Source organism: Homo sapiens, chromosome 2 (assembly GCF_000001405.40).
Source record: "Homo sapiens chromosome 2, GRCh38.p14 Primary Assembly".
In the NCBI taxonomy this organism is placed as follows: domain Eukaryota; kingdom Metazoa; phylum Chordata; class Mammalia; order Primates; family Hominidae; genus Homo; species Homo sapiens.
In genome coordinates, this window is record NC_000002.12 from 49,938,164 (window position 1) to 49,952,014 (window position 13,851).

Below are 13,851 nucleotides of genomic sequence, written 5' to 3' on the forward strand. Positions count from 1 at the left end.
GTGTTCCAAGAAACTATAAGCCCACCTTTTCTAAACTAGAGAATACACCAGCTCTCTCATATTACATGACATAACTTAATCTCTCTGAATCTCTTTAGCTATGAAAATGCTTCATAGTTTCATAAAATAATGAGATAGAATAATGTTTGTAAAGGACTAAGAACAATGATGGAGCGCAGAATAAATCTTCACCAAATACTAGTTATTATTGCTATTTATCATTGCTTATGTAATCTGAACCTTGATCAACATGATTCCTCTGATAGGCAATCAACAGTTGTCTTTTGAGTGGTTGTACTGATGACCTCACCTCCTGTGTTCCAGCTAAAGAGATGCCACAAAAATGGGTGATCCTTTTCTTCCCCCAATGACTAATGAGATATTTTATTATTCAATGGAACTCTTCTTTTCCTAGTTTTACAAAAGTTTAATTGATTTGAGAGTGGCCTAATATCCCATTAGCTATCCATCCCCTAACCACTCACAGAGAATTGACGTATTATTCTTAGCACTGTAAATCTAACAGGAAATTGTCCTTCCTAAACAGGGCTCCAGAAAACAGGAGGCAGGTCTGGTTCCCTTTGTAACAAATGATAAATTAGAGTTATTTATTAGGGAGCTACTACAGCAAAGAGGGTCTTTATCTTCATTTAGGATCTTGAATATCAACATAAAACTCACCTTTTTAAAACTTCTTCAGGAGTTTTCAGAAAGGGTTCTATTTGGAAGAGGGCCCCCAAACTAAGAGATACTGACATGATTAAAGACCTTCTTGGAACTTAAGTGGTTTTGCAGTGTTGCCATTTTGTCAATTTACTAAGTGGATCTAAAATGTAAAATTTCAAAGACATTTTATAAAAACTTATATTTGTGTGAAAAACAAAGTCTTGGAAAATATGTGCGTGTGTGTATAAAAATAACAAATACTAATAACAGGAAACACTCATATAGCACTTATTTTGAGCAAAACATTTTTTCTATAACATACTTTTCATATATTAACTCCAGCAATCACATAGCAATAACTATGCTGGAGCAATAACTCCAGCAATCACAATTTTTTTCTCTAGGCTGAGAAAAATCACGGAAGCTGTAAACGTTTTTTGAGAAAAATTATGAAAAAAATGTTATCTATCTCTCATGTGTCTACGCTTCTTAAACTGGGCACTTTAGGACAACACTGGCCTGTAACATTGTTACCAATAGCTGGTTCAGGTTTCTACCTGTTCACTAAGAGCTGGGGTTCAATTAGCCCTCCTCCATCACATAGCCAACATTTTGTATTCTGAAGCCATCCTTTTGTATTCTGAAACTGATCATATCAATGTGAAGTTATCATCCAATGCTAACTGTGCAGGACAGTGTGGCTAAAATCAAGTATAATTGAGTTCCATGTGTTCCCACCCAGGATGTTGACCCTGATCTAGTTTTAACATGCACAGTTCCCATCAGGAGGCCTGAGTGGTTTCATCAGTTGCCCACCAATTTTCAGCCAGGAAAAGTAACAGCATTATGTAAAAGGGAAAATAGCTTGGAATATTCTTTTTGTATAACTGAATTGGGGGAAAAAGCCACCATTTATGTTCTACATTATGCCAGACATTGCAATAAATGTCTTCAATATATTAATTAATATAGAACTGAAGGTATAAACTTTCTATTTTTGCTCCCAGAGCTTAGCAGAGCAGTAGGTATATAGTGACACTCAATACCTGATCAATGTTGAAGCTGATAACCCACCAAATATATAACTTCCCTGTTCATTAAGAGTTCTGAATGGAACCACAGGTAATTCCAATTTATCAAACATTTGATAAAAGGAATAATTTACTAGTACTCAAGATGATGCTAGATTTTTCCTGTTTCTTCCATTAACAGCTTTAGGAAGGTACCTAAATAAGGAACATAGGACATTTTCAGAGAAAAAGCCATTTTTTGAAGGTGGGGGAGGGTCAGAGTGATTAGAAAACTCATGAGTAAATACTTAGGGAGAGTGAGGTACTCAGAAGATTTGGGCAACGCATCTATAAAGGTAATGGTGCATCTCCTTACAAAGATTTGCTCTCACTTGCCCAAGGACTAGCAAATGTGCATAGAAGATACATCTGTTTCAGAATATTTACCTCAATATGTTAGTTTTATAAAAAGCCAGTATCCCAAAATATAGCCTAATATGTGAAATAATTTTTATTTAAGTATTTCTAACATCTAATAGCAGCAGCTAGAATTATCCAATGTCTAATAACAGCAGCAGCTACAATTATTGTTATATTATTTTATGTTTGCATTCAAGATGGATTGCAAGCAGGAAAAAGAAATTTAAGAAAACCAGTACATTAGGAAACAATGACCTGCAGGAGGGGCAGCCCATGATGAAACATTATTCAGACTTAAACAGGATTCAAAACAAAAACAAACAGAAAAACACAACCCATATTCCAAGAAAAAAGTTGGAAAATAGGAAAACATCATATAAACTAAGAATTTCATTAGAAGCTATCACATAAATAAAACCAATTTCTGCCCAAAGAGCCACCTTCATATGAAGCATTAAAGACAGGCTTGAGAAAAAAAGTAATAGGGAGGTGGACAGAAAAAGCTAATGTAGAAAGAGATTTAACATCAGAAATCGAAAGTGAAACAATTTATGGCATATATTATCAAGACCGGGGGAGATAAGATCAGAGGACAGGTTTACAGTGAATGATCCCATTAACACAAAATAATCTGAAGTTCTTGTTTTAACAGGAATTGATGAATTGAAAACTGAAGAGTGAGGAGGGACAAACTGAAAGAGAGGAGAAAAAGTTAAACTAGGCTTGGTACAAGAGTGTTAAAGTAGCTGTCGTTAGATAGAATCAGTAGCTGGTGTGTTTTGTATTTTGGGTAACAGACTTTGGTGCAGTAGAACAGAACTAAAATTGACAGAACAAGTCCATGCAGGCAGCAAGAAAAACAGGGTTCCTGCTTCATGGAATTTACCTTGTGGGGAGATTCAAGCTATACATTAATGAATGAAAAACAAATACGTAAACATGATTGTTTCAGATAGTGATAGTGTGGTAAAGAAAACAAAGGTAGAAAGATTCCCTGGAGTATGGCAATTAATAAGCTGCTACTCACTTTTCATTGTGCTATGATATTTAACAAAGCAGACAAAAATCGGGTGAACAAGCAGAAGACGATGGCAAAAGGGTTACCCCATCCGCCTTTTCTCTCCTCTCCTCTACCTTCTTCCTCCACCATCTTGTTCTTAGGTCTAGTGTCACCAGAGCAAAAGACAGACAGTAAACTAGTCCATAAGGAATGGTTAATCAGACCTATAAGCAATGGCTCGAAGAACTGGATCATTCAGCTGAGCTCACGAAGAAAAAGTGACAATTTTAAGTGCAATTAGTTACTGTGATTCACTAGGTACTCAAGGTAAGGATTCTGCAACAAGAGTATGATAGCCTATACTTAGACAGTAAAAGAGGGATTCAGCAAGTCCTGTAATTAGTAAGAACTTCAACAGTTTTCATCGCTGTATTAATACTGTGTAAAATACTGAAAAATGGATTACCCTGAAGAAAACACTAATTGAGAAAACAAAATCAACTATAAATAACACACACCCCAATATACAAAGACCAGACTTTGTTACATGGATAACTCATGCTAGAGGATGTCAGAGAAGATGAGATAGAAAAAAGAATGTCCTGGTGCAAAAGATTAACACCAGGAAGGTTGGGCATGTGAGCGTAGAAGAAATGGGGAAGGGAAATTTGAGGGTGGGAAAATGCAGAGATGGGACTGATATAATGACAGAAAAGCAATAGCAATGACTTTTTTTGTTGTTGTTGTTGCTAACTAACAGATTAAGCATACCAATGAAAACCAAGGCAAGATCTTAGTAAAGGGGCCTAGGATAGTGCCATGATGTGACTTTATCTGTCACGACAACCAAGAGGGAATGATTGCAGAGGCCAATGAGCTGGGAGAATGGAATGGATGATCGTGACAGAGCTGATCATTGTGAATGATAGATGTTTCTGGGAGCTGAGAGTCCTGACTGGCACTGTGGAGCCAAGAGGAAAGAGGACCAGAGCATACCCAGCCTGGTCTCCCACGCCCTGTCCTGTTGCGAGGTGACTGCCGAGCTCTTCCCCCTCCCTGGCACTCAGCAGCTGCTCTCTAAGCGCTACAGTCAGTGGTTACAATCAGTGGGGGAAGTGATATTCAAATATTCAAAACGAGATGCACGACATACATCCCGATTTGCTCTAAAGAGCGGATTTACTCTAAAATGGTATTCTTCACAAGAATGCAAATTCATTACTTTCTTGTGACATGAAATTCTCCTGGGATTCTAGGTGATGTCAATAGACACCACTAGCAGATAGTGGTTAGTCCATATCCACCTCACTCATTTTGTTAATGCAAACAATATTATTATTATTATTATTATTATTTTATTATTATTTTGAGACAAAATCCCACTCTGTCACCCAGGCTGAAGTGCAGTGGCGTGATCTTGGCTGACTGCAACCTCTGCCTCCAAGATTCAAGTGATTCTCCTGCCTCAGCCTCCTGAGTAGCTGGGATTACAGGTGCACAGCACCACACCTGGCTGATTTTTCTATTTTTGGCAGGGACAGGGTTTTGGCATGTTGGCCAGGGTGGTCTCAAACTCCTGACCGCAAGTGATCTGCCTGACTCAGGTTCCCAAAGTGCTGGAATTACAGGCGTGAGCCACTATGACCAGCAAAGAACATTATTGAATTTAAATACTGCTTTACCAAAAACCAAACCAAACCAAAACAAAACTAATGGAAATGAGCCTAACACTTGAAGTTATGAATATTTGGAATCAAATCTAGGCTATGAATTCATTCATTTTTCAGGGGTCTACAGCCACCACTTAATGGTATAAGGGCTGTATGGTAACAGTATTTACGTTAGTCACATCAGAAGATGCAAACATATCATAAAGAAGTAAAATGTTTCAGCTTGAATTTTAGGGAAACATGGCAAGACTCAAATATTTCTCTATTAAAGATATCAACGAGTCTACCTGCTGTTTGTTTTACTACTGCTATAATACTCTCACTTCCGAAATTCAGAAATATATCACTTAAGGTAATTTGCTGGCAGAGTGAGTGGTGGGGACTTTTTGTCAGTAGAAAGGTCAAATAATTTTGCACAATGTGCTGCAAATTTTTAGCTTTATAATTTTACTATAAGTGACCCAAGGGAAAGCTCATTATATTGTTACACACAAAAATTATGTTGTGAGCTAATGGAAAGTGAACAGTAAGGTAGAAGCCCTGTGTGCTATACCCACTGCTTTTTCTGAAATACATAATCTTGGCATGTTTTGTTTTTAATTTTTTCAATAAATGTGGAAAAATTTATGTAAAAAATAAGAGTCCTCATCTCACAATCAACGATGGTATAGGAGGGTAGCCTTCTATACATGAATATAAGGCCCTTCTAAGGAATATAACATGCAACAAAGATTTACAGTAAAGCCAAGGAAGTAAGAAAAAAAGTTGACTAACCTAACCCACCTGAGCTCGGCTCACAGGGGTCAATGTCCTCATCATCGCTGGGACACTCTGCTGAGGCCACAAGGATGTCATCTGTGGTCTGCAAAAGAATCACATTCAGTAGATTAATTTAAAGGGTCCTAACAGATTCTCTCATCTTTGTCTCATTGACAAGTGAAATACAATTTGTTTATCAAGAAACCAAATTCACTATTTCCCTTTCTAAAGACACAGAGCTTACATTTTAGATCCTTCATAGAAGTAACTGCCTATTTGTGAAAACTTGATTACACTTTAGTTTACATGAGGACGCAGAAATGGTGACAGCCAACTTGTAGATACCCATCCACTCAAATGCAGATAGAAGCTGCACACAGTATCATACAGAGGTTTAAAACAACCTGGCAGAAACAGATGATTTGAAATTTATTACAGCCTGGAGTGCTACAATGTATGCATCAGTGGGCTTTATGTAGTACTTGTGCTTGGCTTCCTAAAAGCAGAAAAGCCATAACCTTTTACACTCACGACTATGTAGAGTTTGATGAATCTTTGAGATATAGCTTGTTATTGGAGGAAACACAGATTAAGTAGAGAATTAGATAGCTCTTTCATTGGTGCAAAAAGGCAAGGAAATACAATCCATTTAAGACACTTTCATTTTCATTATGATTTCACACTTGAAGCTCATTTTTGTAATGTTCAGATAGCAGGTATTGCTTCCTCATCATCCCTTTCATCATTATGGTTTCATAATAAATGAAAAGTGTATTCAAAGTGGGGGAGGGGAAGAGGTGGCAGTTTTCTCTGTGACATTCTAGTTGCTTCATTGCGCTTACAGCAAAAAAGATACCTATCTCTGTAATAAAAAGCAGAGTCCATAAATCCTAGCAGTTAGTCACATAATCAACACACTGATAAGCACGAAAAGTTGTTCTTTATTGCCACTGACAAGCTGCAGTAAATTCAGCATAGATATTGCATGGAATCTGTAAAGGCTTCCATCAGAGTTGGCTCTGCTAAGGTAAAACAGAGAATCCAATGTATACAAATAAATAAAAATATCTCATTACATCTACTAAGGACTAAAGAGATTAGAATTGTTCAAACAATTCTCAGAATTGCAACATTGATACAGTTCTCATTTAAAAGTGGAATTAAAATAACATAGGTCTTACTTCAAAGAAAAAGCAAAAATACGATATGAGCACCTAATATTAAAGGAGCACCTAATATTGTCACAGATTAAAGTATAACTAAATTTTTAAGAAAGTTGTGGCATTTTGAAAAATGGAGACGAGGGGTGATGAACTTTTATAGAAAGTATTAGGCTTAAAAATCTTTCAAGTGCAGAGTCTTTAAGAACAAAGAATTTGTTCAGATGCGAATGCTTTACAATATAACTTTAAATAAACACAAACCTTTAAATAGCATTGGAGATGGTTTCATGTTACTCTGCTCTTACTTCTTCTGAGACAATTGGGAGAGTTTCTGGATTCATGCATTTTGCTGCTGCTATTTTAGAAAGGGAAGGTGAAAATATTGGTTTGCCTGGAAGTGTAAGTCTTTTTTTTTAACTGTTGAATTTATTGACAAAGTTATTCATAATATTCTCACTTTTTATTCTTCAATGTTTGTGGCATTTGTAGTGCTAACTCCCCTTTCATTCCTGGTATTTGATAATTTGTGGGGGTTTTCTCTTTTTTTTTTTTTATTATACTTTTAGTTCCAGGATACATGTGCAGCATATGCAGGTTACATATGTATACACGTGCCATGGTGGTTTGCTGCACCCATCAACCTGTCATCTACATTAGGTATTTCTCCTAATGCTATACCTCCCCTAGACCCCCACCCTCCAACAGGCCCAAGTGTGTGATGTTCCCCTGCCTGTGTCCATGTGTTCTCATTGTTCAACTCCCACTTATGAGTGAGAATATGCAGTGTTTGATTTTCAGTTCCTCTGATAGTTTGCTGAGAATGGTGGTTTCCAGCTTCATCCATGTCCCTACAAGGGACATGAACTCATCCTTTTTTATGGCTGCATAGTATTCCATGGTGTATATGTGCCACATTTTCTATATCCAGTCTATCATTGATGAGCATTTGGGTTGGTTCCAAGTCTTTGCTATTGTGAATAGTGTGGCAAGAAATATACATGTACATGTGTCTTTATAGTAAAATGATTTATAATCCTTTGGGTATATACCCAGTAATGGGATTGCTGGGTCAAATGGTATTTCTGGTTCTAGATCCTTGAGGAATCACCACACTGTCTTCCACAATGGTTGAACTAATTTACACTCCCACCAACAGTGTAAAAGCATTCCTATTCTCCACATCCTCCAGCATCTGTTGCTTCCTGACTTTTTAATGATTGCCATTCTAACTGGCATGAGATGGTATCTCATTGTGGTTTTGATTTGCATTGCTCTGATGACCAGTGATGATGAGCTTTTTTTCATATGTGTGTTGGCCGTATAAATGTCTTCTTTTGAAAAGTGTATGTTCATATACTTCACCCACTTTTTGATGGGGTTGTTTTGTTTTTTTCTTGTAAATTTGTTTAAGTTCCTTGTAGACTCTGGATATTAGACCTTTGTCAGACAGATAGATTGCAAAAATTTCCTCCCATTCTGTAGGTTGCCTGTCCATTCTGATGATAGTTTCTTTTGCTGGGCAGAAGCTCTTTAATTAGATCCCATTTGTCAATTTTGGCTTTTGTTGCCACTGCTTTTTGTGTTTTAGTCATCAAGTCTTTGCCCATGCCTGTGTCCTAAATGGTATTGCCTAGGTTTTCTTCTAGGGTTTTTTATGGTTTTAGGTCTTACGTTTAAGTCTTTAATCCATCTTGAGTTAATTTTTGTATAAGGTGTAAGGAAGGGGTCCGGTTTCAGTTTCCTGCATATGTCTAGCCAGTTTTCCCAACACCATTTATTAAATAGGGAATCCTTTCCTCATTCCTTGTTTTTGTCAGGTTTGTCAAAGATCAGCTGGTCTTCAAAGAACTAGAAAAAACTACTTTATATTTCATATGGAACCAAAAAAGAGCCCATATAGCCAAGCCAATCCTAAGCAAAAAGAACAAGGCTGGAGGCATCATGCTACCTGACTTAAAACTATGCTACAAGGCTACAGTAACCAAAACAGCCTGGTACCAGTACCAAAACAGATATATAGACCAATGGAATAGAACAGAGGCCTCAATGTAACTCTTAATGTCAGTGAAGATCGTTAGCAATTGGCACGATAATCATGTAGGTATCTTTTTAAAAAGAAAGCTTTAAAAGCAAAGACCCATTCTCCTTTTGGCACAACTACATCTTGCTGGGTAATATACAAACAGACTTGATAATGACGTGTTATTGAATTATGTAGTCTTGCCGGTCAGTTGCTCCAATTCCCTCCAGAGGAGATAATCAGCTTTTTGTTTTTTTCCCCCCGGACCAACATCTAGCGGAAAGCTACTTTTATTCTCAATTTCAAATTAATTTCAAGGTTACAGATAATTTCTCATTTTCTTTGAGGAATGTTAAATATATTGATGAAATCAATATAGTGTTGTTCCTATTGGTGTTTTATTCTTGTTAGAGGGAGGAGGATATAAATAAATTCTTTAAACCAATGGCTCTCACATCAGCAGTGATATTGCCACCTTTTCCTTCCTCCACCTGGAGGCACGTTTGGTAATATGTGGAAATATTTGAGGTCACAATTGGAATTCTGAGGTCTGCTACTATCATTGTCTCTTTTTGACTGCTAAACATTCTTTTCTTTCCTCTTCCTCTCTTCTCCTTCTCCTTTTTTCTTTCTTTTTTTTTTCTTTTTTTTTTTTTTTTTGTAGAGATAAGGTTCCAGCTCAGTCTCACTGTGTTACCCAGGCTGATCTAGAACTCTTGGCCTCAAGCAATACTCCTACCTGAGCCTCCCGAAGTGCTGGGATTACAGGAATGAGCTACCACACAATGCCTAAATATTATAAAATACACATGACAGCTTGAAGACAACAAAGAATGATCTAACCTGAAATGTTAATAATGCCAAAGTTGAGAACCCCTGCTCAAAACATTTAAAAACAGTTCTGTCTTATTGTTCTCCTAAAAATATGGACAGCATAATAGTATCTATTGTTACAAGGATGAAATTAGTACATGAAAAGTACCTAGAAGGGGACAACACTGTAAATGTTTATTAAAACTTTCAATATTATTATCAACTTTTTTCAATATTTCATGAATGTAATACCAATTTAATTTTTGCACTATAATTACAAATAATATAATTATAGATATTAAACCGAAACTTGTACATATGAATTATTCTTGAGGTCTCATGTTAAAATTTGTATCAAAATACAGTAGCTACATTGGTATTTTGTTGAACTAAGTACCATCTTTTACTGTCCAACTTTGACCTTTTAAAAGGCAAACATCAAATATAAACTTAAAAAACTGCTTCTTAAAAAAATTCATGGGCTACAACTGTGTGACTCAGTGGGTAGTGTTTCATGCAGACTAAATTATTTACGCAATACAAGTTAAGCTTTGTTTTAAAAGCTGACCTATTTTCTTTTGGAACAATTCTACACTAACCAGAACGTGTGAGAATGTTCTCAGTGTTACCTTCTGCAAAACACAATTCCTAAAATAACAAAAGATGTCATACAATGGTACTTCCTATAGCCCTCTTACAGTAGAAAAAAATAACTACAAATGCGACCCTTTTGTAAAACTATATTTTACTTTTTAATGTAATTTCCCTGGTATAATGAAATACGTTCTTGATTTTCATATATGTTTTTCCTCCAGAAATTAAAAACCAGCAACAATCTTGAGAATAAAAGACCTCAAATCAATAGATGGCTTGGCAAAAATCATCATCGCAGTATGAAAAATCAGGAAGTGGCTCAAGTGTAGGGGAAGAAAATCAAATTTCACTTTAGAAGCTGAATTAACTGCACAATTTTCTAGCCAAAGCTGTGTAATTTAAATTTAATTCACTGTGTTTGGAGCTGCTGCTATGACTTGCTGTTGAGAGAGTGGTAGAAAGAAACTCAAATATGTCACATTAATCAATTCTATTCTTTAGTATACTTTTCCCTGATGTTTATAACCTTTTTGAGAAAAGAGACAACCTGCTGAAAAAGACAGAAGCGTGATCAAGCAGAAGCATTAGCTTTACATAACAGTCCATTTAGATGAGTGTCTCTAACTGTGCATTTAACCACCCACAGGTGAAATTGCTATGCTGATCTTCCTTAATTCAGACTGGTCTGTACATGCACATCGTAAGCATCTCTTCTTGTTGAAAATGTGCACTAAAATCTAAGTCTCTATACTTTTAGGAAGAAAATGATTTGAACAGAATTCAAGAAATAAAGGCTGTAAAACTTAATCCATCCTTTTCTATATTTGAACACCAATATTTTGTAGGGTTTGAGAAATATGTCAGGACGGGGGCAAAAGAATGTTCTTAATGAATGGTAAGAAGGTAGACCAAGTGATTTAATACCCAGGGATATTAAAAAGAGGGAGCATTTGGTTGGGGGGAATTTAGAGAAACACAGATGTATGTTTGTTATTTTTTCTCACTTATAGGAAGCCTTTTATTTTTCAACATCATTAATGGTGGAATTTTCTGTATATGCATTTGCTGTCACTTTAAAAAATATAGCTTAACTGCATATCTGTGTGGTAAAAATATACAAGGAAAGCACGAATAAACCCAGTATGTAATATTATATCCCTGCTAAGAATAACATTCCAAGACTTTATTCCTTATGATAAACAGCTTTCCTGAAGACTAATATATTCCAATGAAGACGCTTACAGAAAACTATACTATTAAGACAAATCTGTTTTGTAAGGAAAAGAGCAATTTCCAATTGTAAAATAGGATATTCATTGTCAGTATATGATACCCACAAATAAACCCGATTTATTCTAAAATTTTAATTGAAAGTTTATTTCTAAACAGCAACAGTGTATCCTGCTATACCTCTAAATACGAAGCCAAAAGAATTGTCTCAGACAATGACATGAGCATTGTATAACATTATTTAGCCTAATATTTAACTGTTGTGACTGATATTTAGACTGAATTGATAGCAACAGTTAGTGGGTCGAGGACAGTGCTGGCTGAAATATGATATCTTTGGTTAACTGATGGGCACTTGTTCTTGCTGATACTTTTCTGTATGCAAAGCTGCTTTGGAAGAGAGAGCGCTCTCAAGTGTGGTTTTCATGAATGAATCTAATAGTTTCTCCAGAAAATATTTATCACTAGGTGAGGTTCCTTGAAAAAAAAAAATTTTAACAGGATTCAGGATTAGTATCACAAATTCCCAAGTAAGGTCCAACCCAGTGTCCTGATAACCTATGGAGCAAGAAGTTTCTAGGAGGTAAGGGAAGTCATAATTCTCACCAGAAGGAAAAACTGCAGAAAATAATCCACTTGTAATGTGTATATAGGTATATGATTCCCAAATTGCGGTCTATTTGATTAAAGCAAATCAGTAAAGAAATAGATCAAATTGGCAATTTCAGTTAATGAACAATCCTATTAAGGTGCAAGAGGAATTTAGAGGCTGTCTAGATCTTATTCTTGTTTCCACTGTCTCAATGAAGTTGCCTCAATTGACATAAAGATGTCAATTTCATGGCTCACTATTTAATAAACATAAAAATAATAAGCTGAGATCCAGTATGTGGAGGATGAATTTTACCTCCAGCACATGAATAAGAAAGACAGTGAGGCCCAATTACTCAACAATGAATACAAAGCACCTCATCTATGCGTAGCATTTTCTGATAGGCATAAAATATTCTCAGTACACATGAAGGTATAAATTGTGGTTCCGATATGCAAATAATTTACTGTTCTCTCTCTGTTCTGAGGCAAATGAACAAATAACTCTTTAATACAAATAACAATGAAGTAAATTCAAATAGCTTATTTTTCTCGGAATGTAACAATGTTCCCATATCCATTACTTCATTTACAATTCACCAATAGCATCCTTATCTGGAATGCAGATGGAGGTACTGTTATTCAGAGTGTTATAGTTAAGTGTCTGCTAAAAAAAATACTCATCTGTACACTCATCTACCCAATTTGAATGTGTGAACACTGGCTTTCATGAATATGTAGGGCAAAGCTCAAATACCCCTTAAAACAGCCACTTTCACATTTCTTTAATGTTCTTTCCCAATTGATGCCCTAGGCTATTACAAAAAGTGACCATAAATCAGCTGTCTGCTTGGGAAAAAGGCAGACTTGAAAGCCATTCAATTTTCTTCGAATTTTTTTCAGCTGTTTAAAAAGTATGCAATGGTTCCAGAACCACTAAAGTGGGTTTGAGTAGAAGAACTCTGCCGTGGTAAAGAAATCACATCTTACTCAGTCTAACGTTCATTTTTATGTACATTTGATACTGGTTCTCCTAACAGGCAAAACTCAAAGGAAAATATAGGAATATGGAAATAATGTCACAGAAATGCACTTTAATTAAGTTATGGGGAAAAGAATAAAACTGAATTTTTGAGTAATCAAAAAATAACATATTTTAGCAAACTTATTCAAAATAGAAAACCTACAAATAAGGAACCTGCTGTCAGGGAACTTGAAATTAAATTTATGTTTAAAAAATATGTTTTTTATTATTTCTTTATGCTACTGATGACCTCTATGCTCATATTGCATTTCCATTTTTAGCCAAGGCAATGTAGAAGGACTGGCAAAATAAATTAATATGAAATTTAAACTTTCAGGAAGCCATGGAACAACCTATTTTTCTGAATTCTCACTAATTAGAATTTGAGAATGTCAGACCTCCAAAGACTGCTGGTAATGGAGTAGAGGTACTGAATGAGTGATCAACTGTGTTTCCCGTCTCTTTGTTTCGCTTTTGGACAAAGCACTTTCTGAAATAATTTTGGCCATTTCCAAATTAAATAAATATTGAAAGATGTTTACAAATGTAAATTTAGGCTTCTAGCTGTATCAGTATGAATATCTAGTCCTATTATGGATTAGTCACACAGGTTGAAATGAAAAGTAGGGTTCTAAGCTGTATCAACATGAGTATCTAGTCCTATTAATGGATTGGTGGACTAATTAATAGATTAATTAGTCACACACATTGAAATCAAAATCCCTTTCGGTAAAAGGCCAAAATAAAACCAGACTTTATGATTGCAAAATGCCTATGATGGATAATTTCAACTAGCATGACTCCAAATCCAAGCTTTCATTGTTGCCATGTTAGGGAATGAAAACATGTTTTAGTTAAGCAGTCATATATCTTCTTGTACTGAGTCAGATC

At 35.7% G+C, this 13,851-nt stretch overlaps 1 protein-coding gene across 21 annotated transcripts in view; it reads right to left on the reverse strand.

The window, feature by feature from the left end:
* Positions 1 to 13,851, reverse strand: part of NRXN1 (neurexin 1) — a 1,113,630-nt gene that overhangs the window by 19,661 nt on the left and 1,080,118 nt on the right. For 12 of the 21 annotated variants that reach the window (NM_001330087.2, NM_001330084.2, NM_001330093.2 and 9 more), the window contains one exon: positions 5,541 to 5,628. In NM_001330087.2, the coding sequence (NP_001317016.1) occupies positions 5,541 to 5,628 (88 nt within the window). The remainder of the gene's footprint in view (positions 1 to 5,540; positions 5,629 to 13,851) is intronic. The other 9 variants (NM_001330096.2, NM_001330083.2, NM_001330088.2 and 6 more) reach the window with 1 other exon arrangement.